This window comes from Homo sapiens, chromosome 11 (genome assembly GCF_000001405.40).
Source record: "Homo sapiens chromosome 11, GRCh38.p14 Primary Assembly".
NCBI lineage: Eukaryota > Metazoa > Chordata > Mammalia > Primates > Hominidae > Homo > Homo sapiens.
The window spans coordinates 92,783,406-92,808,990 of record NC_000011.10 but is presented as its reverse complement, the minus strand read 5'-3'; the positions used below and the strand labels follow the sequence as shown (position 1 = coordinate 92,808,990).

At 39.0% G+C, this 25,585-nt stretch overlaps 1 protein-coding gene across 11 annotated transcripts in view, besides 1 other annotated feature; it reads right to left on the bottom strand.

Annotated features, from left to right (window-relative positions):
* The window catches only part of FAT3 (FAT atypical cadherin 3), a 671,656-nt gene that overhangs the window by 87,483 nt on the left and 558,588 nt on the right, over positions 1-25,585 (bottom strand). For all 11 annotated transcript variants that reach the window (XM_017017179.3, XM_017017178.3, XM_017017180.2 and 8 more), the window contains 5 exons: positions 18,773-19,048; positions 16,014-16,224; positions 7,082-11,155; positions 3,642-3,838; positions 2,476-2,629 (listed from right to left, as the gene is read on the bottom strand). In XM_017017179.3, coding sequence (XP_016872668.1) covers positions 2,476-2,629; positions 3,642-3,838; positions 7,082-11,155; positions 16,014-16,224; positions 18,773-19,048 — 4,912 coding nt within the window. The remainder of the gene's footprint in view (positions 1-2,475; positions 2,630-3,641; positions 3,839-7,081; positions 11,156-16,013; positions 16,225-18,772; positions 19,049-25,585) is intronic.
* Positions 15,287-15,902: an enhancer, noted in NCBI's record as "OCT4-NANOG-H3K4me1 hESC enhancer chr11:92526255-92526870 (GRCh37/hg19 assembly coordinates)". NCBI's record gives its function as "activates a minimal SCP1, AML or CMV promoter by ChIP-STARR-seq in naive and primed H9 embryonic stem cells {active_cell/tissue: H9 hESC(naive and primed)}" and the evidence as "EXISTENCE:reporter gene assay evidence [ECO:0000049][PMID:30033119]".

Sequence of the window (25,585 nt, the reverse complement as noted above, 5' to 3'; positions counted from 1 at the left end):
TAGATATTATTTGGATGAAGCTACCTATATTCATTTATTTATTTATTTTATTTATTTATTTTTTTGAGACTGAGTCTTGCTCTGTCGCCCAGGCTGGAGTGCAGTGGCATGATCTCGGCTCACTGCAAGCTCTGCCTCCTGGGTTCACGCCATTCTCCTGCCTCAGCCTCCCAAGTAGCTGGGACTACAGGTGCCCGCCACCATGCCTGGCTAATTTTTTTGTATTTTTAGTGGAGACGGGGTTTCACTGTGTTAACCAGGATGGTCTTGATCTCCTGACTTTGTGATCCACCCACCTCGGCCTCCCAAAGTGCGGGGATTACAGATGTGAGCCACCGTGCTGGCCAAAGCTACCTATATTTATTAAGGCAGTTCATCTTTTAGCTTCCTGGCTATGGCCAGCCAGTTCTCAGATACAGGTTGGATCATTTCCCTCTCCTACTCAAAAAGCATCCAGGGATTTTCATTGGGACATTCAAGACACTCCACAATCTGGCCTAAAGTAGTTTTCCCTCCACTTTTGTATATGACATTACCTGGATGCGCTATGCTCTCTGCTCATGCTGTTCCTATAACTTGCAGTGTCCTGTTTAAGCCACTGAGAATCCTGGCTGAGTTCAAATGCTAGTTCTTCCTTTAAGCAGTTTCCTTTTTCCTCTTATCAGAATATTAGTTACATCTTCATCTGTGCCCAGATATAGCTCCCCTTATGTTTCTCCTGAACACTCATTTCATTGTGCCTTGATTGTTATTATTGGTTAACTTGCCTGTCTTCCCTACTGGATTACAATATCCCCTGGGCATGATTTATTTTGTTTATCTTGGAGTCTACCACAAATATCCCATAAAATACTTTTATGTCTACTGGCTACTCAATAAATGTTACCTTTTGAATAAATAATCACCAGGCCCATATAGCTGAGTAGTATATTCCCATGTAGCTAAGTCAGTGCTTCCTTGTAGGATGCAACCTCTTACAAGACTGGGGCAGGGAGGAGCCACTACCTTTCTGGAGACTCAATAGTCAGTTATTGTTCACTAGAACCAACACAACACTGGAAATATGCAAGCCAGCCAATCTTTACGCTTAAATTTAAAATGTCATTGGATGGGTCATCTAATCTACAAAACTAAAATAATTTGCTACCATATAAAAGGTTTTTCCATTAGCTCTGGCCTTCAATGCAGGCATCTGCCTTTAGCTTACATAACCTTGCACCTTGTCAGTTTTACCTGAATATACAACCAAGCAAATCTGAGGGCTTATAGGTTTGGAGAAACTAGGCAAGAAAGTTTAATAAAAACTAGACAACTGTGTTAATAAGAATCAGAAAAGGACCCTAAAGCCATTTCAAAGTGAGAAAAATTCTCCTTCCTATAAATTGCTGTCTGGTTTTCGTGGCAACCTGCATTTGTGATACAACTTCATTTATACCTGTTACGAGCATATACCTTAAAACTTACAGATACGAGAAACAAGAGAAGCAAACAGAGATGTCCGCTTACTTGATGCTAATAAATGTAGGTAAAGTCTGGGCAAGTTTTACAAAGAAAATAAAAAGTTTCTGTGGTCCAGAGTACCCATATTTGGATATGTCCCTACAATTTCTTAGAGCCCAAGATACTGAGCATCATATTCTTGGGGTACAGAGAATGATACCCCAAAGTATGGTGCTTTGACATGCTGAGCACCTTGAATTAAAAAAAATTTGGAAGGCCTTAAAGCTGCCTTAGAACCAAGAACTTTCAAACTTTCTCTTATTTCCCTCATCTCTCTCAAGTGCAGGTGAAGACTCTCTTTGAAATTTCCTCATCTGACTAAGAAAACTTCTTTCCAAAAGAAATGCATTTGTCTTAAGATCCCCCTCCATAGAAATCTCATCAAATAACTGGGAAAGATTCACCACCAGAGAAGAGAAAAGAGACTAAAAGTCATCACCATGTCCAGACAGATTTTTCATCTCTTCTTCTGAGGGAAGCTCCTAGAGATTAACTGGGAGACTTTATCTGCATAACTAGATAACCTTTGTTCACAGTCAGTTCAATCCGTCACCTCCCCACATTTTCCAGTTCCATTGAGTTTCCTAGGAGAATTATTTACAAAATAATGGATGCCCTCCAGATTATTCATTTCCCCTAAAAATCATTGACTACTCCTCTAAAATTGCCTACAGTCCCCCAACTTCCCTCTCCCCTAGCAACAGCCTTAACCATCTGGCTTTTCTTTGGGTCTCTTATTTTTGGGGCTGTGTTACCCACGTTCACATAAGTAAATCCATATGCCTTTTCTCCTGTTAATCTGTCTGTGGTCAGTTCATTTCAGCAAACATTCAGAAAGGATGGAAGGGAAAATTTCCCTCCATCCCTATAAGAGTAAGTATACTACTAACTATTTACTAGTGATGAGACCACATAAGTTTAACTTCTCTCATGAATTAACAATGACATTTATCTCAATAATAAATTTTAGCTTACCACTTTCTGGATCTAGAAAAAATTCACTGTTTCCAGATCCATAGAGTGAGTATCGTATATATCCATTGGATCCAATATCAGCATCCTTTGCACTGACTTTCAGGATGATTTTATTTGATGGAATGTCTTCAGGAAGTAATGCTGTATATGCAACCTGGACAAAGGTGAAGAAAGGTAATAAAATCATTAGTATTTGTGGGGGCAATTGCCATATTTAGCATTATATAGGATTTCTTTAAAAATTCATTTATATAATTTAGCTTTTGTTATTTTTTTCCTTCACTACAGAAACATATTTCAATATATTATGAAACACAGTATATCTGCTGCTCTTCCACTCCCATGCTTATTCATTTAACAAATATTTATTGAGCATCCACTATATGTACCATTCTAAGCACTAAGAGTACCACGGCAAAGAAAACAGAGGAACATCCCCACTCTTGTGGAACCATAACACACACCACACATTGACCATGGCTGTCTGTTTTTCTCTTGAGCCCCAGTAAGTCCTAGGAATTCTCTTCAACTCTTTAAAGAGCCACTACCAGCATTTGGCATTAGTATGAGAGATTAAATCTATTTGCAATACTTTTCTAATCTATAGGACACCAATATTGTCTCTTGGTCCACATGATAGAAAAGAATAAATAGTGATTTAATTTCAGTATGAGAGAAAATAAAATCTAGTACTTGTACCTTGCAATGGCATTATATTTTATATAGTAGTAGAAAGGCCACTTCATAAGGAGCCTGGAGACCAGTGTTCAGCACCAACATTGCCACTAACCAAATGTGTAAACTTATATAAACAAGTTAACATCCTGTAGAGTGGTCCATTTCTCTTTTATGATATCAGTGATTTAAACAGAATAAGTCCTAAAGTCCTTTATGAATTACTCAAAAAATTATTTAAGACATTGGTTTCTTTCTTTTTTTTTTTTTTGTTGGGGGCAGGGTACAAAATTAGGTATCTGATCTTGCTACCTATACTCTTTTCATGTTTTCAATATTTCTTCCTAAACTTCACCTCCTACCCTCTTATACCCACACCCAATTGCAGATAAGAGCAGAAGTTTGCCTGGCCTTAAGAAGAAAAGTGAAATGGGTTTTTATTTTATTTTGGAGAAGCAGAGTAAAAGCAGAACCCTATCCCCAAATCTCACCTGATCACACACTGGGCTATTGTCATTCACATCACTGACGCTCACTTCCACCATGGCCTGTGTGACAAAAAGCCCATCAGTGGCAGTGATATTGAGAAAGTAAATGTCCTGTTCTTCTCTGTCTAGAGGCCTCTTCACATAGACCTTCCACTCACTTTGCACCAGGCCCAGAGCAAACCTTCCTCGAGGGTTTCCTCCTGCAGTTAAAAAAACAAAAGAGCTTTTGAAGATGTGCAATGAAATGTCTTAATCTACATCTACCTTGAGAGGTGCATGTGGAGTCATCCAGGTACTCCTTAAACTGTATCATTTAGGATACTACAAAGATACTGAGACTCCCTTTGATTCTTGGGCAACAAAGCATGATATTTATATGCTTGGCTTCTGTGGAAAGCAAAACAGTAACTTTCCAAGATAATAAAATCCACTTAGAGAAGCTGGAGATGATCTCTTGTTTAGTTCCCCTTAAGAACAATCAAATTCAAACTGTGAACAATCAATCGTCTTCTCAGGCTGACACAATCGTCTTTCCACTTAGTCTCAAGAGAGGATGTAATACACTCTAGCTCTTGTTACCAAGACAATTTCATTAGCCGTTGATTATGCAGTCAAGGAAAGGCAGTTAGTTCTATTAAGGAATCTTTTAATGAAGCCTTTATCATACAGCTGCGCTCTTCTCATAAGAACTGGAGTTTGGCGGAGAAAAGTTTTCACGACAGAGGAGGGCCCATTAGTGTTAAATAGCCCTAACGAGGGGTCATTTAAAAAGCAGTTCAAAGATAAGCACTGCAATTAGACCAAATGTATCAGAGTGAAGCTGGGGAACATGGAAGAAAAGAAAACAGATGAAGTGGAACAGCTTTCTAAGATGCTGAAGCATGGACAGTGGTCCCAGCAATATGACTTTTCCACATCATTAAGCTACATGGGGGCAAAAGCAGCTTGGGGAACAAGATAGGAGGAGGAAGGAAGAAGATGATGACCTTGATGTAATCCGTAAGAAGGGAAAAATGTCATTTCAGACACCGAGAAAGACTGAGAAGACCACTGGCGGTAAGTCAGGAGTCAGGTTTGATGATCACTATTTCATTTATTTGGGCATTCAAGTATTTATCATATACCCTGGGCCAGGCATTGTTCTAGGCAGCAGGGCTACATCAGTGGACAAAACCAGCAAAAATATCTGCTGTCTCAGCAGAGATCACATTCTGGAGGGAAAGACTGAAAATAAACAAGTAAGGAAAGTATACTGCATGCCAACTGCTACTTCATTGAAAACTTGGAGCCATATCTCACACTTACAATGAATCTTTAAAAAGCAGAGGGCAAATATCGGGGTCCTACTGAAGAGACTGAGTGGGAAGGGGTGGGATTCTGAGTGCCAGACTGCATTCTTGCTTATAATGCAAGGGGCTGCTCAGTCTGAGGGCCTCAGCACTGGGAGTGGGGGCAAGCCACAGTGGAATACAATGAAACCAAATCAGCCAGACAGTGCAGAAAAGGTGAGAGCTGCCTATTCCTCTGGGGCAGTGGTTCTCAACTGGGGACAACTGTGCCCTTCCCCTCTGTGGGGATATGTGTATTGACATTACATATGTCTGGAGACATTTTTGCTTGTCACATTGGTGGGAGGGAAGTGATGGTGGTGGTATGTGCTACTGGCATTTAGTGGGTAGAGGCCAGGGATGCTGCCACACATCCTACAGTGCACAGGACAGCCTTCCTCAGCAAAGAATGATCTGGCCCCATATGTCAATAGCGGTGTGGCTGAGCAACCCTGCTCTAGGGAGCTTCAGGGTCCTCCCTGGGATATCACTTTCCTTCACCACTGGCCAGGATTCAATTATGCTTTAGTTGAATATTATTTCAGTGCACACAAACTTAACCTCTCTATTAAATGCTTTCAGTGCAGGCCCACAGTGTTCTTTTGTTACATAAAATGATTAATGGTCCTTTGTTAATTGGAGGCAGCACAGCCAAGTTGTGTTACATCAAGAGCAAAAGTTAAATCTAATTAAAATCAGTTGGTGGTTGGCACTGCTAATAGTAACAGTAGCTTTAAGCTACTCTGTACTCATTACTTTGGTAAAGTCGATGGGATAGTCCCTTTAAATCATCCATTGACAATTCAGAGGCTATCTATAAATAATTAAGGCTGAGTATTTTACAGTTTCTCCAAATAGAAAAGGACCCTTCAGAATGCCTAAGAAGCTTTTTTTTTCCTGAAAATAAATGCAAATGAATTAAAGTCATGCTTCACTCACCTCTTTCTTCTATCTTTCATGTTTTAACTGCAGAAATACATATTTTAATCAAAAAAGAGGTCTCAGATAGATCATAAAGTGTTTCAAGGGGAAAACTTCACCAAGAGAACAGTCCCATGAAGAAAAAGGAAGGGAATCATGCTGAAAAGTGTGGCAACCCCAAGCATTGACACATTTGCTCTACTGTGGATCTTATTCTGCAGTGATTAATTAACTTTCCTACTAACATACTCAAGCAGATTCTATGTCCTAAGGGCAGTCTAATTAATTCATTTTTCACTCTGAATGATGTAGTTTTTCTAAACGGAAGCCACCTGACTACAAGTATTGATGATTCTTTACAATCTTTTGGCACTTTGTTTATGTTCTGCCTTTGAATGTGACGACATCAAAATATTAGCTTTAACCCACCCCCCAAATAGTTTTTAGGAAGAACCTTCCCACACTGTCAACCCTCTCCTCTTTCAGTTAAAGGTCGCCTGCCCCCCAGGAAACCACTCTGACATGAAATCCTTAGCCTCTCAGGGCAACAGTGACATTTTCTGTGCCTTCCTAATGACTGACTTTGTCTATCTTGGCTTTCCTCTTGAATTGCTACTTGCTATTCTGAAAGACAGAAAAGAAATCCAAAAAATTTTGGTTGTCAGAAGAAATACCCCTTGATTTGTAGTGATAATTTAGGATTTCTCAGGGAAGGATCAAACCATTCCATCTAATGTGTGTACATGTGTGCACAGGTGTTGCCATGGCCAGGGGAAGTGTGCATGTGAAGCTTACTGTGATCAAGCTATTTGTTTTGCTCAGCATTGCAAAAGGTAGAAAAAAGGAACATGCTTAAAAACAGAACCTCTCCACCAAAAAGTTGTTATTTTCATTCCTTCAACTGAGATATTTGGCTGGACTCCTTTTTAAATAGGAAGAGGTGACACAAAGACTAGTTACCAATATGGTTAACACATTTACAGCAAACCTGTGAACTCCAAACTAAGGCTGAGTTAGCAACAGCCAACAAGCAAAAAACGCAGTCTGCTCAGAGATCCTTTACTCAGCTCCAGAGAGGCTTCATTACACTGGACTCCTTATCCCATCTTCCTTCTCTCTTACTCTTCTCCCCGCCATCTTCCATCTTTCTTTATAAAGCAGTGCACATAATGAAAACTGGGGGTATTTACTCACCTGTAATATGGTAGCTCACTTGGCGATTAACGTCGGATGTGTCTCTGTCCCAGGTGCTGAGGACGGCTACCACCTCGCCCGGTGGGTCGCTCTCCTTCACATTCCCTCGGTACACTTCCTGCGCGAAGACTGGTGCATTGTCATTTATATCTGTCACTCTGACAGAGACCAAGGCCGTGGAGGAAAGAGAGAATGCCTCTCCAAGGTCAGAGGCCACCACAGAGAAGGTGAATGTGGGGTCTGTCTCGTGATCTAGGTCCTTCAAGGTACTGATCCAGCCCGTGTTGCTGTCAATATTGAATGCTTCCATTACCTTTTCGGGCTGGGAATCCGAGTGGAGGGAGTAAGTGACTTGTCCATTGGCTCCCCAGTCCATATCAATAGCTCTCACTTGTGTGAGTTTGGTGCCAACAGGCATCCCTTCCATTATAATGGTGTCATAGCTTGAAGTTTCAAAGACTGGCTTGTTGTCATTCAAATCCAATACCTTGATATCTACATCCACAGTAAACACAATGTCTACTTTGTCCAGGGGTATAGTGGCTGCTACTTTAAAGTGGAAAGCTGGGCTGGTTTCACGGTCAAGGCGTTTGTCAAGCTTAATAGTGCCTGTTTCCTGTTCTATGACGAATATGCCCCCTTTGTTATTTTCTGGCCGTTCCCCATTAACTGTGCTGAACCAGACATTCTGACTGGGCAAAATCCTCAGGGTGTCCACTGTACTCCCAATGGCTGTATCTTCTGCAATGGTAAAGGAATACTGAGACTGGGTGAATGATGGCAAGAACGTTTCAGGGGGCAAGACGTGGATATAGACAGGAATGAGGGAGTGCTTTACTGGGATGCCCCCATCTACTGCTTTGACAAAGAACGAAAGCACTGTATTTTTCAGCTGGTTAAAATTACCCTTTGTGACCATCCAGCCATTGTCAGGATCGATTTCCAGGAGGTCGGCCACTGAAACAGAGGCCTCGCTATAGAGGGAATAAGTAATCCTTGAATTTGCTCCATCATCGGGATCTATGGCTTGAACTTGAGTGACCAAGTGGCCCCTTCCAACATCTGCCCTGACACTGGCTCTATATTCCACTGTCATGAACTGGGGAGCATTGTCATTTTCATCCACAACAATCACTCTCACAGTGCAGAAAGTTGTTCTCCCTCCACCATCAAGGGCCCTCACAAAAATACTAACATCCCCTTCTAGAGGGTTTTCCCGGTCTAGCCTTTCTGTGGTGATGACCTGCCCATTGCTGTCTATGAGGAATCGATCCTTGGCAAAGTCATTGATGATGGCATAGCTGATCTGCCCATAAGTCCCTGGATCACCATCTGTGGCTCGAACATGAATTACCTTTGTTCCTGCAGCCACGTTCTCTCTCACCTCAGCTACGTATGTGCTTTGTGAAAAGGCAGGGCTGTACAAGTTAGCCCCAAGTACCCTAATATGCACCTGTGCAGTGCTGGTGAACAACCCATCAGAGACAGACACATTGAGACTGTACAGAGGCTCCATCCGCTGCTTCCGATGGTTGGACAATGTGATAACTCCACTCTTGCTGTCCATCAGAAAGCTCGTCCGGTCATTCCCAGATAAAATGCTATATTCCAACCGGTCAAAATCAGAGCTGTCTGCATCAGAGGCTTGTACACAGGTTACAAAATGGCCCCGGGGGGCTAATTCACTCACATATGACTCATAAATGAGCTGATTAAAAACTGGAGGGTTGTCATTTACATCAGAGATGTAGATATGAACGAGAACCTCACTGCTCAGTGATGGGAAGCCACTATCTATTGATCTGACTTTCAAAGTGCAGTGTTGTACTAACTCATGGTCCAGCATTCGTGCTGTCAGGATTAAGCCACTTGAGCTATCTATGTGAAAATAATCTGTGCTATTGTAGGTATCCTGGACAATCTGATAATGTACCATTTTATTGTTTTCTGAGTCTGCATCAATAGAGACAACTTGTAAAACAGGTGTCCCAATAAGAGATGCTTCTGATAGTGTTGTATTGTATGTAGGCTGATCGAAAATAGGGGGGTTGTCATTTACATCATTAACTAGCAAGTCAACAGTGACTTCAGCCCTAGCACCAGTAAGGGCGTCGCTGGCTCTTATTGTCAGCTTGTAAGCAGATGTAACTTCATAATCCAAAGGGCTAACAACTTTCAGGACCCCAGTGTCAAAGTCAATGTTAAACTGTTTAAAAGGGTCCCCATCGATAATGATATATATGATGCCTTGGCCTTCTGGACTGGTGGCATTGATGCTTAGGATGGGTGTGTTCATTCTGATGTCTTCATTGACAGATGCTGTATAAAAGGGCTTATCAAACACAGGCATTGCTTTGTTGACAATAGTGATGGGAAGCTCCACAGATGTAGACAAAGAAGGTTTTCCGCCATCCTTGGCTAGGATGGTGACTCCATACTCAATGTTGGACAAGTCAGAGTTGAATGCTTCCTTTAAAATAACATTCCCTGAATTAGGGTTAATTTCAAAGTGGCCATAGTCATCCTGCAGGACATAGGTCACTTCTCCATTTGGACCTTTATCTTTGTCAATGGCTGTCACCTGATAAATCAGAGTCCCGGGTTCCGCATCCACTTGAACAGCAGCATAGTATGGGAGGCCCACAAAGACTGGAGAATTGTCATTTATGTCTTCAATGTTAACCCTGACCACCACTCTGGCCACACGCAGATGGTCCAGCTCACGGCTGGCTTCTACCACCAGCTCATATAACTCTTGTTCTTCACGGTCAAAGGGGACTCCAGTCGTCTGAATGACCCCTGAGGTAGATTTTATCTTGAACTTATTTCCTGGGTTTAAGATGCTGTATTTTAAGGGCTCATTAAGGCGATTTCCAACTGCATTGACAATAGCAACTTTGGTTATGTTAGTGTTGTTCTCTGAGATTGAGGTGGAATAGAAGCTTTGTGTAAAGTGGAGGCCGCTGTCCATGGCTTCTTTAACCATGATGGTGACCATGGAGGTACTGTAGAACTTTCCATCAGACACCTTAACTATCAGCATGTAGTGATCCTTGGAGAGGTTGTTGTTTTTTATGGTAAGTACTCCACTGTTTGAGTCAATTAAAAAATGATCCAAACTGCCTTCCATTAGGCTGTATGTCAGTTCAGGGGGTACCTCAGAGTCAGGATCTGTGGCACTAACTTTCAGAACCTCCACTCCAACATAGGTAGGTAGAAGTAAGATAGTCTCAAACACAGCCTGAGTAAAAACAGGTGGGTTATCATTCACATCTGTCACCTCAATGTTGACTTCAACGGGACTCTCTGCAGTCAGTTGGGGGCTACCACTGTCTCTCACATGCACATGAAAATGGAAATGGGCAATGGTTTCATGGTCCAGGTTGGCAATTGTTCTGATTGCACCTGTACTGGAGTCCACCGTGAAAAACTTTTTTGCTGTTGACTCCACAATCTGATACACAAGCAGAGCATTCCGGTTGCTGTCAGCATCTGTGGCTCGAATCACCAGTGGGCTGTTATCCAAGCTCCTGACAATGCTATTAATTGGGGCAGCCTCACTTAGGCTGCCTGAGTATTGAGAAAAGAGAAAAACTGGGGCATTATCATTTTCATCAACAATCTGAATATTGACTGTAGCATTGGAAGCCATTCCTGCCATATTGGTGGCCTGAATGATGAGTTGATAAGAGGATGTGCGCTCATAATCCAGGGCCTTCTGAGTGGTGATGACTCCAGAATATGGATTTATGGTAAAGATCCCATTAATGTCTCCATCTTTGACTTCATAAATGAGGGTAGATTGACTGATGGCAGAGATTAGAATGACTGATGTTCCAATGTCAACATTTTCATTTACTTCTGCTTGGTAGTCTTTGTGAATGAACTTGGGGTGAGAATTGTCAGACATGGTGACGGAAATGCGCACAATTGCAGTAGCAGACATTGGCGGGGATCCCTGATCTGTGACTTTGATGGATAGGACAAACTGACCCATCGTCGTCATGTCTGGTTCTTTGCAAATGGTGATGATGCCTAGGACCGGTTCGATCTTAAACATGTTCCCAGTGTTCCCTAAAATACAGAAATCAATGGTGAAATGAGTTACATGTGGGTCACTGAAATCTTTTTGATTAACTCTTTATCTATAGGTACCTTACTGCAATGTGGCAAGTAGAAAGCAATTATAGTACTCATCTGTGTCATTCTGAAATAAAATGAGAGGCTTCTCTTTCAGGGGTACTGAAAAGGAACCAAAATGAGTTTCCCAGTATTATAGTAAATTTCAGATCAGTAACTTCTAGATCCAGGTTAAAAACACAATGACAATGACACAGTCTTATGTGCATTCAAGTTGGGAAATAAGAGAGCCCGAAGGAGAGATCTTTCTGCTAAGAATGTATAGGACTTCCTTATTTCCAGCCTTGTGAGAAGACAGATAGATTGGGAAGCCCACATATGAATGCCACTGGTTTAGGTAGCAGTGTCATATTTTCTGTTCTAGGTTTAAAGAAAGAGGGTTGTGGGAATAGTTTCAGAGCATTATAAAGTAGTCAGTTGTTTTCTGATTATCCCAAAAGCAAACTTCGCTACATGGAATTGGTATTATTTCACCCTATCAAAAATGACTTTATCCAAAACACTACTTTGGTGAAGGGGTTTGTTCAGTCAGGTGTGGAGAATTCTTGGCAAGTCATTATTTGCCTTGTAAGTGTGATGAATTTTCCTGACTTCTCTTCTATTCTCCACTCATGCTCTACCCCTCTCTCATGCTTCTGAACACACACATGCACACATCTAGACATAAAAGTAAACATAAAAAGTTATAGGGCAGTTGCTCAATCTGTAACCATTCTATTCACCAAGCATTTGAGGTGTTTCTAGTGTACCAAGAAACTGTTGGGAATCTGAACCAGCACTGCAACCAAGAACCTGAGACATAATCCTTGTGAAACTGAAACCTGGGCACCCCACTTTGATAGAGCTGGCAGGGGAAGGGCTCTGGCCATGACACTGTAGTAGTTTACAGCTCTGCTTCAGAAACATGTTGTGGTTCGAAATCTGGGATTGTTGAGAATGAGAGAAATAACAGAGGAATAAAAAATGGGGAAGACACAATGTGGAGTATGTAAAGAAGGTAGGTGGTGACAGAGCTGAAAGGCAGTGGGTAGTGTGAAGTTGCATCCCTCACCAAGTTGCTTTTTGCTTCTCTTATCAGGCTTTCTCATACTTCTCAAAGAACACATATACTTCTGTGTTGAGATCCTTTCCAATCAAAAGTTAAAGATCTTGGTTATTCAACTCTATCTGGACTTTTCTTTCTGAGTATTGTAGTATGATAGGTATATAATTTAAATGTTAAAATCATTAAAATAGGGACCAGGATTTTCAGGGCAGTTATGAGATGTGTCTACATACCTCTTCCTACATGCTAATTATATAAAGTTTTCCATGTCTGAACACAAAATGGTCATGTTCATGTAACATCTATTTCAAGAAGATACTTGCTTATTTTAAAAGACAAAGTATATCTAATAAAGAGGTCATTTTGATTCCAGCCCCCCCAAATGTGAATATTAAACAATGTTGTCTTTGATGTCGGCATGATTTATTACTTTGCCACCTAAACATGGCCATTTTGTGATGACAATAATAAAAAGTTCAATGATCTTATGAGTAAACGTTCAAGCTTGCAATGAATAGTGTCATAGAATTGAGTGTGAATCCAACAGGTGATCCACAGAACTTTATAAGGGGAAATCACTTCACCTAAGCAATGGTCACCTTCCAGTGATGGCACCAACATGCAACCCTGACTGATGAATGCTACTGGAGCCAGGGATCTCGGTGTTCACTGATTATGGTGCCCGACTGCAGAGTTTCTAGGTAAGTCCTCCCTCACTCCACACCCGGCAGATTTCTTCATGCCCAGAAAGATAGATTATGGTGGGGATGGCAGGGAGCCAGCTTTTGACCTCAAATATAATTTTTTGTTTTTTTTTGAGATGGAGTCTCGCTCTGTCATCCAGGCTGGAGTGCAGTGGTGCAATCTTGGCTCACTGCAACCTCTGTCTCCTGGGTTCAGGTGATTCTCCTGCCTCAGCCTCCAGAGTAGCTGGGACTGCAGGCAGGCACCACTACACCTGGCTAATTTTCATGTTTGTAGAGACGGGGTTTTGCCACGTTGGTCAGGCTGGTCTCAGACTTCTGACCTCAAGTGATCCACCTGCCTTGGCCTCCAAAAATGCTGGGATTACAGGCACGAGCCACTGTGCCTGGCCTCAAGTAGAAATTCATAATCCTGCTATCCCATGGCCGCTGATCTGCTTGTGACACGCTTCCAGAATGGTGTGCTGATACATCAGGTCCAAAGTGGGCCCTTCTCCTCTTTCCCTCTTTGACACACTGACCCATTCTCTTGGAATCCACTTCCTGCTTATTCTTTCCTGCTACACTTGAATCCTGAAAAATTGGCCTCTGTTTGTTTTTTGGAATCTATGGCCTCTTGTAGATTTTTGGCAATTGAATAAAAGCTGTGCTTTTCTTATCATTCCTTATCTAGTACACAACACAGCATCTGCTACAAAGAAGTTGCTTAATATTTGTTGAATGATTGAGAGGAGAGGTAAATCTAAAAAAAATATTTTAAACTCTCTATTCATATGCATCTTGGGATCCATATGCCCTCACCCGAACTCAACTCAGTCCCAGTCTCTCTTGTACAATCCTGCCTCAGACTCACCATTGACACCAAACACAAAACTCAAACTAGATATAAGACCTGAAGCTCTGCACTCAAATTCTGCCTCAGTCCTTCAGGCCAAAATAAAAAGCTTCCGTAGTTACTTTAGAGGACAGGCAGGAGACAGGAAATTTATAGCCCACCAATAAACAGAGTGAAATCTTGCTTATCTGATGTGTGTGAGAAAAGTTAAATAAAACATAATACTTTACACAGCCATTTGTCATTTGCTTCAAAGTGCTGAAGCATCTGGGATCTGCCTGTCTCCCACCCTCAACTGGGAAGAAACTTGCTCCTCTAGGACCAGTGCGGACCAGTGTGGGTTTGTCTGTCTGTCTGTGAAGAGCCCTGCTGGTCATTTGAGATTTATTGTGAACATTGTAATCCTCAATAGTTTCTTACATACAATCAAAGGTCATTTTTTTTGCGATATCAATTGTTCCCATGGTTTTCTGGAAGTTTGGGTTTTCTTTATGAAAGATGTTTTAAGGAAATAACTGTTCTGTCTTGTTTTAGTCAGTTAAAGAAACGACTGGGCACCATGCTGTAGTCTGTAGAGGTCAAAAGATAAGCAGAGCAGTCTTTTCGGTTGGATGGTAAGTTAAATTACTCCTTAAGAAACTCCAAACTGGTTGAAACATTATCTGGCTATCTAAAAGGAGTATAAGTAGCAGGCTTAATGACAAATATAAAAAGCAGGTAGAGACACACAGCTAATGTTTAGAACATGGTAAGAAAAGTAGAAATAAAACCCTATATCTAAATAATTACAGTGACATGAAACAATGTATATGCATGAATGAATACGGGGAAAAGAAAAAAACACAACATTGGAAAAAACCATAGAAAGAATAAAAAGAGTTGTTGGGTTAGGTGACATTTTCTGGGATGTGATTTAAATATTCATTTTTTGGAAAAGTTTCCTTATATTATTTGTGGAACCCAAAGAACAAAGATTATATAATTAAGTAATAAAAATGTCCTGTGAAAAATAAAAGATGTAAAATAGCATTTCTAAAAAAACACTGGTCAGGCTTTAGATTGAAAGGAAATTCCATGGAAACCTAGAAAAAAAATAGGTAAATTCTCTCCGGAAACTTTGCTATTATGAACTCATGTCTTTTCTTTTTCTTTTTTTAAGTAGAGCTTAGCACAGACCCATGTAAAATGTGGGTGCCTAATACAAGAAATAGTTCTAAGTTATCATTCAATGAAAGAACTTTTTTTTTTTAGAAGGTTGTTGGCTTTTCTTTTTCTAAAATTTCTAGTCCAAAACTGTCATTCTAGCATTCATATTTTAATTCAACTCCTCTCAAAAATGCTCTACATTTAAATGAAAGGAGAGAAGTCTTTCCATCCCTGGCATGAAAGGATATTGCATTTGGCATTATTCACGACAGACATAAGTTGCAGAACATTTTGAAAATAGGTGGCTTGAATATTCAAAAAAGATGGAATGGGGAGGAGAACATAGAGCAGATAAAGGATATTTGTCATTTTTAGGTTATTTCTTGCTTAGCCATTCATCTCTCAGTCATAAAAGCTTTCTAGCTATCAGTCTTCAAACCATCAGTAAACTATGATCTTACCTTATAGATGTTAAAATTAATTTTAAAACATCTCAAATTTAACAAAACAAGAGCCTGTATTTATTTGTCAGGTTCAGCAAGCAGTTCAGACTCCATATCTACCATCTACTCTGCTACTCAGGTTGCCTCCAATGATGTGAATTTGTGCTAACTATGAGGGTGAAGGAATTTCTGAAGCCCACAGACCACCTATTCACAAGTAAACAAAGACTTGTTAAGATTCAATTCACAGAACACCCTGGCAGGCCTCAGATGATCGGCGGGCGGCTTTTGTTATTTTAGTCTGAGGCCCTGGCTTGTTGGTCCACAGGTAAAAGCCACTAAATTTATTACGTATTTATTTTCTCTTCTCTATCCAAGAAAAATCCAAGATCAAACACAACAAAGGAAATTTTCCTTGCTATTAATGATGGAAAACCTATTACTGAAACATCAAGAACGTTATCCACCATCATCTCCCAAATAGGACAGCGGCTTGGCCAAAAAAGTTCATTTAGAGATGTTCCACTGTTAATGATCTGAATTTTACATGGTGATAAATACTACTGAGGGTCGAATGCCTTGCATTATGCTGAAATCTGTGCAGTGCAACAGCTCTCACCTGCTTCTATGGTATATATGAGTTCTGCATTTTCTCCTTTGTCTTTGTCCAGAGCCGTCACTTGCAGAACAGCTGATCCCAGAGCAGCAGATTCAAACACAGACGCTTCATACAGTGGGTTGGTAAAATAAGGACTGTGATCATTAGCATCCTCCACATTCACAATGACTCGGGCCAAGTTTCTTCGATAAGGAAACTCCTGATCTCTGACCTTTAGGCAAAATACAAGAAGTGGTGGGACTCAAATTTTAAATTGCAAAGAACTCACATGGCTATGTTTGGGGTGAAAACAAAATGAAATAATGCACGCAAAGTGCTTGACCCAGTTCCAGGCTTCTAGTAGGTGCTCAGTAAATGGTAGTATCATGAAGTGAGGAAACATTGTGAGCAAATCGTGAGCAGGGTTTACAACACCTTTACTGCTCAGCCTAATGTCTGGCCTGTGGTCTGTGCTCAGTCTGTGTGTGTAGAACTGATGCCTTGATATCACAAACACAGCACTGTGCTCTGGCTCTCCCCATATAGTGGCCTCCCCCTTATTTGTGTACACAGCTGATAACAGAATAGTGGGTAGAGGCTCCTCTGCAGGAGCAATTAAAGACTGGAATTAATGAACACAATGTAGGCATTTTCACTCATCCATTCAACTAACATTTATTGTCACCTATCTGTTCAAGTCCCTGGCTTTGCACTGGTGGTTCAGCAGTGAATTGGATACAGTTCCTGCCCTCAAGAAGCTTAGAGTCAAGTGGGAATACAAACAATAGATAGGTATAATGCTCAGGGCTAAGTATTCTCACGGGATGCACTAAAGATGCTCGCAGAATAGTGAGAAGAAACTAACCTAGCATTTAGCTTGCTGAAAAAGGTAACAAGAACAAGTAGGAGTGGTAAAATGGTGGTGGTAGTAGTGTGTGGCATTTTCAGGCAAAAAAGCCAATATATACAAAAGCCTAGAGCTGAGAGAACCCTGACCATCGGGAATATGAATCAAATCTTAATTTCTTACTTAGAGAAATGTTAAATAAAATGTCACACTTTACACAACCATTTGTCATTTTCTTCAAAGTGCTGAAGCACCTCCTTTCTGATTTCACCAAAAAACCTTGCTTGGCAGTTTTAAAGTTTCCTTTAGTTTGCATATGGCAGAAGTTTGAAAATAATCATTTCTTTAACCACAAGGTTTTGCTATCATTTGATGTAGCACTAATCAAATATGTGCACTTGGCTTTTTCAATTTTAAACTCCATACCTGCAGAGAGATGTGAAGAAATTAGAAAATATACCAAGAAGAGCCATCAAAGAGAAAGGGGTTTTCAGAAATAGTACCTAGGAGGAATAAGCAAAATGACTAAAAGGCTTAGCTAGGAAAAAGGCAGTGTAAAGCACTTGTTTGCTGTAAATATTCAATTATGTAAGTGATAAATGGTAGAGGGTGACCAAACTGATTTCTGAGTTTGTTAAAGAAAGAATGAACAGAAATGACTTAAAGAATCATGAGAATGGAGTTAGTCACTAGCACAAGGTTTCTGCCCTTGGAGAAAACACATGCAGAATTAGCTCAGTGAATATGCTGAATTTCCCTGTCTGCAGACTGGTCTGCCATACCCAAGGACCAAGCTGAACTCTATTTGGGGATTGTTGAAATCTAGGTCAGTTCCAATTTAGTGTAAGCTCCTAGGGTGCAGGAACTTTGTCTTTTTTGTATCTTCAGTGCCTAGAAGAAAGTTTGGTGCACAGTAAGTGGTTGAGAAATATTTGTTAAATGAATGAATGAAGGGCCATAGTGATGACTGGAAGACCTCTATAAGTAACCCCATCTGTTTCCTGGAGTCTTAGCTGGAAACCATAGCTAAGTGCATGACACTCAAGCTTCCTCTTGTTGGGGAAGGTTTCTAGTCTTATGAAAGGAAAGTAGCACTTAGTGGAACATTACTTTCAGCTGCTTAGGAATTTGTACTGTCTTAGTGTAGTATTTTAAAGCCAATCAGTGCAGAAGATTAAGTCTGTCCTTCTACCTGGTCTTAAAGGAACACAGTGGGGGCTCTGACAGGAAGTGGCTGTGCAATGCCGCAGAGATTCTTGGGTGGTTGAAGAGATAGACTTCAGGCCATAAATTAATCAACGATGTTTCTCATTCATCTCTACTTCCCAATTATGTGAACTAGCTAAACACTACTTTAAAAGTAAAGCAATATCTCCTACATAATTTGGAGGCCCCATGAACACAAACTCAGATTTATACTCTCTGTAGGCTTGAGCATGTATTGAGATCTCTTTTGTGTGCCAGTATTTACTACTAGGTCCAGTGCCAGTACAATAAATAATAAATTGGTTTTGTAAATCCTTCCAAGGACTGAGCATTGCATAGGCTGAGTAAATGATTACCCTTGTGATTAACTTCTTAAGGAATGTCTTTTCAATTTTTCTATGAAATCTTCTGGGTGCAAACCAACCCCAGAGCCTGGGAACATGACCTGTTCCTTCCCTCTCAAGTCAGTCTGTTTGGAGCATTTACTGAGCAGCCATTGCTGCAGAACTTATCTAATATTTTCGTTTGGCAAAAATGTAGAGTTGCTATCTAACAACAGTAATTCTTCATTGAAATAAAAAGGCAAAAATGAATGCAATCTCTCTGTGAAAAGACTAAATTTACAACTACTTATAAAATTTAGGGGCCCTATACTTCTGAAGGCTAATGTGTGTGGCCTGAACAGTCAGTGGTTCTGTAGGAGTGCTAATTAGGATTTTGGTCCTACCATTATGTTGAGAATGTGCTTGTCCTGGGCCTCATGGTCCAGCCTCTCGGCAGTATAGAGCACGCCAGTGCTAGGGTCAATCCGGAATTTTCTCATGCTGATGGAGTCGATGCTGCTATGAACAGTGTAGCTCAGCTTGTGCTTCTCATCTCTATCTGTGGCTTCAATCTGCAGGATCTCCGTGTCTGGAAGCACATCCTCGGAAATTGTCACATCGTAATTCGGCTGAGAGAATTCTGGGCCATTATCATTATTATCCAGCACTTTGATAAATACCTGTAGTTAAAAGAAGAAAAGAATGATGACTAATGCCAATTTGCTCACTGCTAATAAAAGTATGCCCTCCCTCTTTTTCTCCCCGCTTCCCCGTCCTTGGATCCTAGCTTCTAGTAGCTCTTGCAACACAGAGGAAACTCACTAATAAAAACATTCTGTAATTAGAGGTTGACAATAAACCAGTAGTTTATATTAGCAGGAACATAAACTATGAGCTGACCAATATTCTCACTATTAATTGAACAGCTGAGACAACCACTTGAAGGTGATAATTCTGTGGAATTCTTTGATGCACAATGTATATGATCACAAGATGACCTTAGTTTGTTAAGTTGCCATTATCTTAAGTTCTTATTATGTGTTTCTCTTGGTGGACCTCTGTGGAGGCAGTGACAGAATGGGAAAAGGAGTACAGAAGAGGCAAAGGAGCCAATGAGGTGGACTCAGAGCAGTCACAGCTTCTCAGTGGCAGTGTCCATGCCCTGTGGTTGTCCTGATAGTAGGGGTCCAGCAAAGAACGTGGCGCTAATGATAGCTAAGGTACGAAGTTTCCCAATAAGTTTTCTAATTGTTTTCTTTCATAAAGCATTTTGTTACGTAAATTTTCAGACAAATATAAAATAGTGTAATGAACACTCAAGTATGTATCACTCAGCTTTAATAATAATCAATTGCTAATCTGGTTTCATCAAACTCCCACTCATCCCTGCCTATTCCCACGTTATTTTAAAGCAAATCCCACCCATCATGTAATTTCGGTATGCATCTTTAAAAGACAGAACTCTTAGAATAAACACAAACACACACAATACCATTGCTGCACCTAAACAGAGAAAAGAGTAGTTCCTTAATATCATCAAACAGCCCATTTGGTGTTCATACTTCTCTAATTGTTTTTTAAGTATGTTTTGTTTGTTTATCACATATACACACATATATATATTCATAATCTTTTAACCAAGATATGCAAATAAGGTCCAAACATTGCATTTGGTTAATACATCCATAAATGGGTTAATTATATTTTAATTTATAGGTTCTCCTTCAAACTCTTCTCTTACTATTTCCCTGCAATTTTTATGGTGTTATTGTTGTTATTGAAGAAACTGAGCCATTTTCTGTTTAGTTTCCACAGTCTGAATTTTGCTCATAGCATCGCTGTGGTTTTGTTTTACATGTCCCTCTGTACCCTGTATTTCTTATAAATTGTTTGATTTAAAAGGCTTGCTAAGGTTCAATTTCCTTTTTTCTGTTTCTTTTTCTTTGACAAAAATCCTTCATGAGTGATTTAGTGTACTTCCATCTGGAGATACATAATATCTGGTTCTCTCTCTTGTTCTGTGATATTAGCAGACACTGGCAATCATTATACAGATAATTCATTAAAAATTTCAGATTGATAATGTTCTAATTCTATTATTTTCTTCCTCATTTATTAGCTGGAATAGTTCTCTAAAAAGAAACTTCTCAACTATTTGGTTACTGTGAAGTACATTTCATATAGGAAAGTTAGGATAAATAATTCTTTCCCTTTATTCTTTTGAAATAGTGAGTTGGTTCCTTAGCTCCTCCCAAAGTGACCAATGAGGTACTCTTTTTTAACCATTATTATGAACTCATGAATTTAATCACATCTGATTTGTTTCTCTCTATTGTAGTTATTATATTAATGATGATAAATAGCCCTACCTTGGCCTGTAGGAGCCTCTTCCAGTTAGTTCTTGACATCTTTTGACATAACTCTAGTATTCTTTGATAGCTTCCTTGCTTTCTGATAATTGCTACCAGTAATTTTTTCCAGTGTTATCTTGTGCATTTTCCCATTATCCATTTCTCCAGAATGGCTTGTTTTCTTTTTAGTTAGAATTTAGAGACCATGATCCGCTGCTAGGAATACTTATTGCTACTGGATTGGCTATTATGCTTCGGTTTCATTCAATGGACAGAGTCAGGAAAGGTCTGTGGTTTTTTAAAAGTAAATATTGCACGAGTTCATATTGCTACTTCCTATTCAAAATTAGAGCATCAAGGTTTTTACTTAATCTCATTATTTTTACATTGGTATCTCCTTTTTCTCATGCTGAAATTTCTCATGCTTAATGACATCATCAAAATTATTCATTGCTTTATTTGAACCACATGCACAAAAATCTCAGAATAATTCCAACATTCTTATTATATTATAACTATGATCATTAAAAATAATTTTAATATTATTTTGTAGTTCTTTTTATTTTATAATTATGTATTTATATCATTATAATAATAAAATAAATTATAATTTATTCCTAGTTGGATAAATAATTGCAATTATTATAGCATAATTGCAATTTAAAATACTATCTACTTTCTATCAGGTGCTATACAGGTTTAAGAAGAACAAGCAAGAATAACCAGGAATTTATCCAACTAGGAATATAAAGTCAAACCAGCATGTTTAAAGTCACTTAGAATAGTTCTTCTCTGTGTAGATGTGCCACCAACTAGATATGCATCTAACATCATTTGTTTCCACTTGTGTTCAAATTTTAGACTTGCTTTTTAAATATTTAATTTAATATTATATATAAAGGTACCAAAGTCAAATTTACAAAAGAGATATATTCAAAGCAGTTCAGCTTCTATACCTTCCCCCTACACTCTATTCCCTTCTCCTACAGATAACTTTAAAAATATGTATGGTTTACTCATCAAACATTCTGTTAATATAAACATACTATATACACTCTTCCCTGCCATGCTGTTTCATTTAACATTACAGTTACAGTTAACATAACATTAACATCAGTTCTCAACTGGGGAGGGTTTTGTCTTCCGGGGGACATTTAGTAGTGTCTGGAGGCATTTTTGGTTGTAACACTTGGAGGAGGGCTGTTACTGACATCCAGTAGTACAGGCCAGGGATGCCGCTAAACATCCTACAATGCACAGGACAGCCCCCGCAAGAAAGAATCATCTGACCCAAAATGTCAGTAGTGTTGCTGTGGAGAAACCCTGCATTATATCCTGAAGATAATGCCACAGAAGTACAGAGATACTCTTCCAGTGAGTAGATGAATCAGTTAATTCAACTAGTTTTCTATTGGTGTTCATTTAAGATGTCTCCAATTTTTGTTCTTAGAAACAGTGTGCAAGGAAGAGCCTTGTGCCCATTTTTAAAATATTTTTTGCTAGCATATATTTGGTTCTAGAATTGGGATGGTTGGATCAAAGTACAGGTGCTTATATAGTTTTATTATTATATATGTTTCCATATTTCCCCTACTCAAAGGTTTTATCATTTTGCATTCCCATAATAATATATAAGAATGTTTGTTTCTCACAACCTTGCCAACATAATATGTAGTAAGACTTCTAGATTTTTTGCCAATCTGATAGATGAGAAACGGCATTTCGGTATAGTTTTCATTTACCTTTCTCTTATTTTTGAGTGAGGTTGGAGAAACTTTTCATATATTTAAGATCCATTTGCATTTCTTTTTTTGTTAAATTATTTGTATCTCATCTCATTCTTCTATAGGTTAGATGGCCTCTCATTCTTTATTTTTGGAAGTTTGGTGATATAAATTGCAAATACGCTTTCAATTTTGTCATGTATTTTTATTTTGCTTATGGTGTTTTTTTTTGCCATGCAAAAGTGAATACATCAATCTTTTTCCTTATTGTTTCTGGATGTTAATTCACAGTTTAGAATATTTTTTGAGCTTTCAGGTTATAAATGAACACATTCATTTTAAAACATGCATTTGTATGTTTTCTTTTCTTTCATTTACATCGCTAATCGAGTTGCAATTTTTCCTGGCATACTGCGATTATTTTCCATATGGCTCTCCATTTATCTCAATGCCACTCTTTAAAAGACCATCACTTCCCACTGATTTGAGAAGCCACCTTTATTGTACTCTATATTTACACATGCAGTTAGCATATTTCTGGATTTTCTATTCTGTTCCATTGGTTTATCTGACTTCTCATGTATCAGTACCAACATGTTTTAATTATAGAGGCTTTATAGTACATTTTAATGTTTGGAAAGGCTAGGCTCTCTTTTTCTTCTTTCTCATGGTTTTCCTTGCTATTCTCACTTGTTCTTCTAAATAAACCTGTATAGCACCTGATAGAAACTGGATAGTATTTTTAATTGCAATTATGCTATAATGACAGGTTAATAAAGGAAAACTGACTTCTTTCTAATGTAGTCTTCCTATCCAAGAATATGGTTTGTCTTTTTTCATTTGTTCAATCTACTGTTTTACTTTTCTGGGAACATTTAGTTTTCCTTAAATAGGTTTTGAACACTTTTTAAAGTTTATATATGTACTACCCTAAATAGAGTCTTCTCTTCCAATATATATTTCACTGTTTTTTTTGGTTATATATATGTAGGCTATTGATTTTTGTATATTAAATTTTTAACCTGTTATTTTCCTATCACTTATAGAAGTTTTTCCTTTCAGTCTTTTGAGTTTTTCAGATATATAATTATATTACATGCAAACAGAGATAGTTTTACCTTTTTCTTTATGACACAAACTGGTTTATCTTGTCTAATTGCATTGGCTATTACAGCATGACAGTAAATAGTACTGAATATAGTGATGTCCCTGTCTGATTCCTGACTAATAGAAAAAAAATCCTCTAGTTATTCTCCATTAAATATTATCCTAGTGTTTGGCTGTATTCCAGAACATTATTTACTTTTAAAAATAAATGCAACCAGATTATGGCTATTTGCATAAATGGCTGCACTATCACTCACTTTGGTACAAATATGCCTTTTTTGAGGGAGAGACAAATGGTGGTGCTACCACCTCTATGCCGGGATAACTTGCCATTCAGAGTCAGCTGGACATGGGACAAGCTTTGCCCTATAGTACTTTGTGGTAGAAAAAGGGTTAAAAAGTGTGCCAGTAAAGTTTTGGGTATTGTTCTTATCTCCACTGTATTTGCAGAACCATACTAGATTCTTTGAATGCCAATTCTTTCATTCAGAAAGTTCAAGTTAACTTAGTCAAGATGCTAAAATATTTGTGTTCAGTTATATTAATGGGAGGAAAAAGCCTTTCCGGCCAGCAAGCCTGCCCTGACCTTCATGAAGTTTCAAAGTTGATGTGCTCTTGAAAAGCTTGCCTCTTTTTGCTTGCTTTGTCTTACGCCTAATCTACAGTCAGAACAAGTGTTTCTCAGTAAAAGACTTCCTTCTCCTCATTTACTTTTTATTTCCCACAGTCGGGGCCATTTGTGAGCTCCCGAACTAACAAACAAAGCAAAGTAACTCTCAAAGATGTTGTGTTCAAAATGGTAATTGAAATGCCTAAAGAAGTACAATGAAATCAAAGCAGGAGGAAACCCGAATATAGGAAATCTCTTCAGAGCTGGTTTCAATGCTGCCCACCACAAACACTTCGGGTTTTGCAGGCTCTTCTAAGCTAAGTCTGGGTAGATGCCAAGCTCTGCTTCACAAAGGCTCATGGTATAAAGTGTCCATGGGGCGAGCAGTAGGGTGAAGGCACTGTCTTTTATTAGAACCAATTAAGTCCTGAATTACTGAAATTCTCTTCTGCCTCTGCTGGCATTTCAAAACCGTATTTAAAACATTCTATAGTTGTGATTTCAAGGGTGAAGCCCCTTGTATTCTCCTCAAGCTTGTAAGTTTTCTTTTTGAATGTATAAGTAGAAAAATCACATCAGCTTGTACTTGTTTTACAGTTTATAAATCTGTATCACATTCATTTCCTAGACTTTATTATTTCTGGTTTACCAGTGGGGAAAATGAGAATTAGAGAAGTTAAAAGATATGCCTAAAGTCCTATGTCAAGGCCAGACTCAACCCCAGGTATTACAGAGCTAATTCTGTATTCACCCCATCCTATCATTTCCGTGTGCATTAAGTTACACACACATTAAAAGTAAATGCATGTTAACATTTATACATACAATGTGTACAGATATTATGTACTTTGCTATAGAGAAATCCTAATTTACAAAATAGATAACTGATTCCATTCTCTTTTCATGAACATTCATTATGAGGTTATTTTAAATATAAAGATCCCTGGTCCCTTTAAAATTAGAATCTATTTTCAAAAATTGATCTCCTCATAAGTTGTTAAGCCCAGATCTATACATACAGTAAAATTTCATTTTTATTATTTTATGAGACAGGGTTTTCCTTTGTCTCCTAGGCTGGAGCGCAGTGGCACAATCATGGCTCACTGCAGTTTCAGACTCACACCTCAGCCTCCCAAGTAGCTGGGACAATTGGACTGCACCACCAGGCCCGGCTAATTTTTTGTTTTGTAGAGATGAGTCCTCGCTATGTTACCCAGGCTGGTCTCAAACTCCTAGCCTCAAGTGATCCTTCCACCTTGGCCTCCCAAAGTGTTGGGATTACAGGCATAAGCTGCCACACCTTGCTGTGTCTTTTTTTTTTTTTTTTTAATTAAAAAAGAAAGTCTTACATTTTAAGATTTGGCTTGCTGCCTTATTTTATCTATATACATTTGTAGTTGTTCCAGCATTTTCCTAATCTAAATA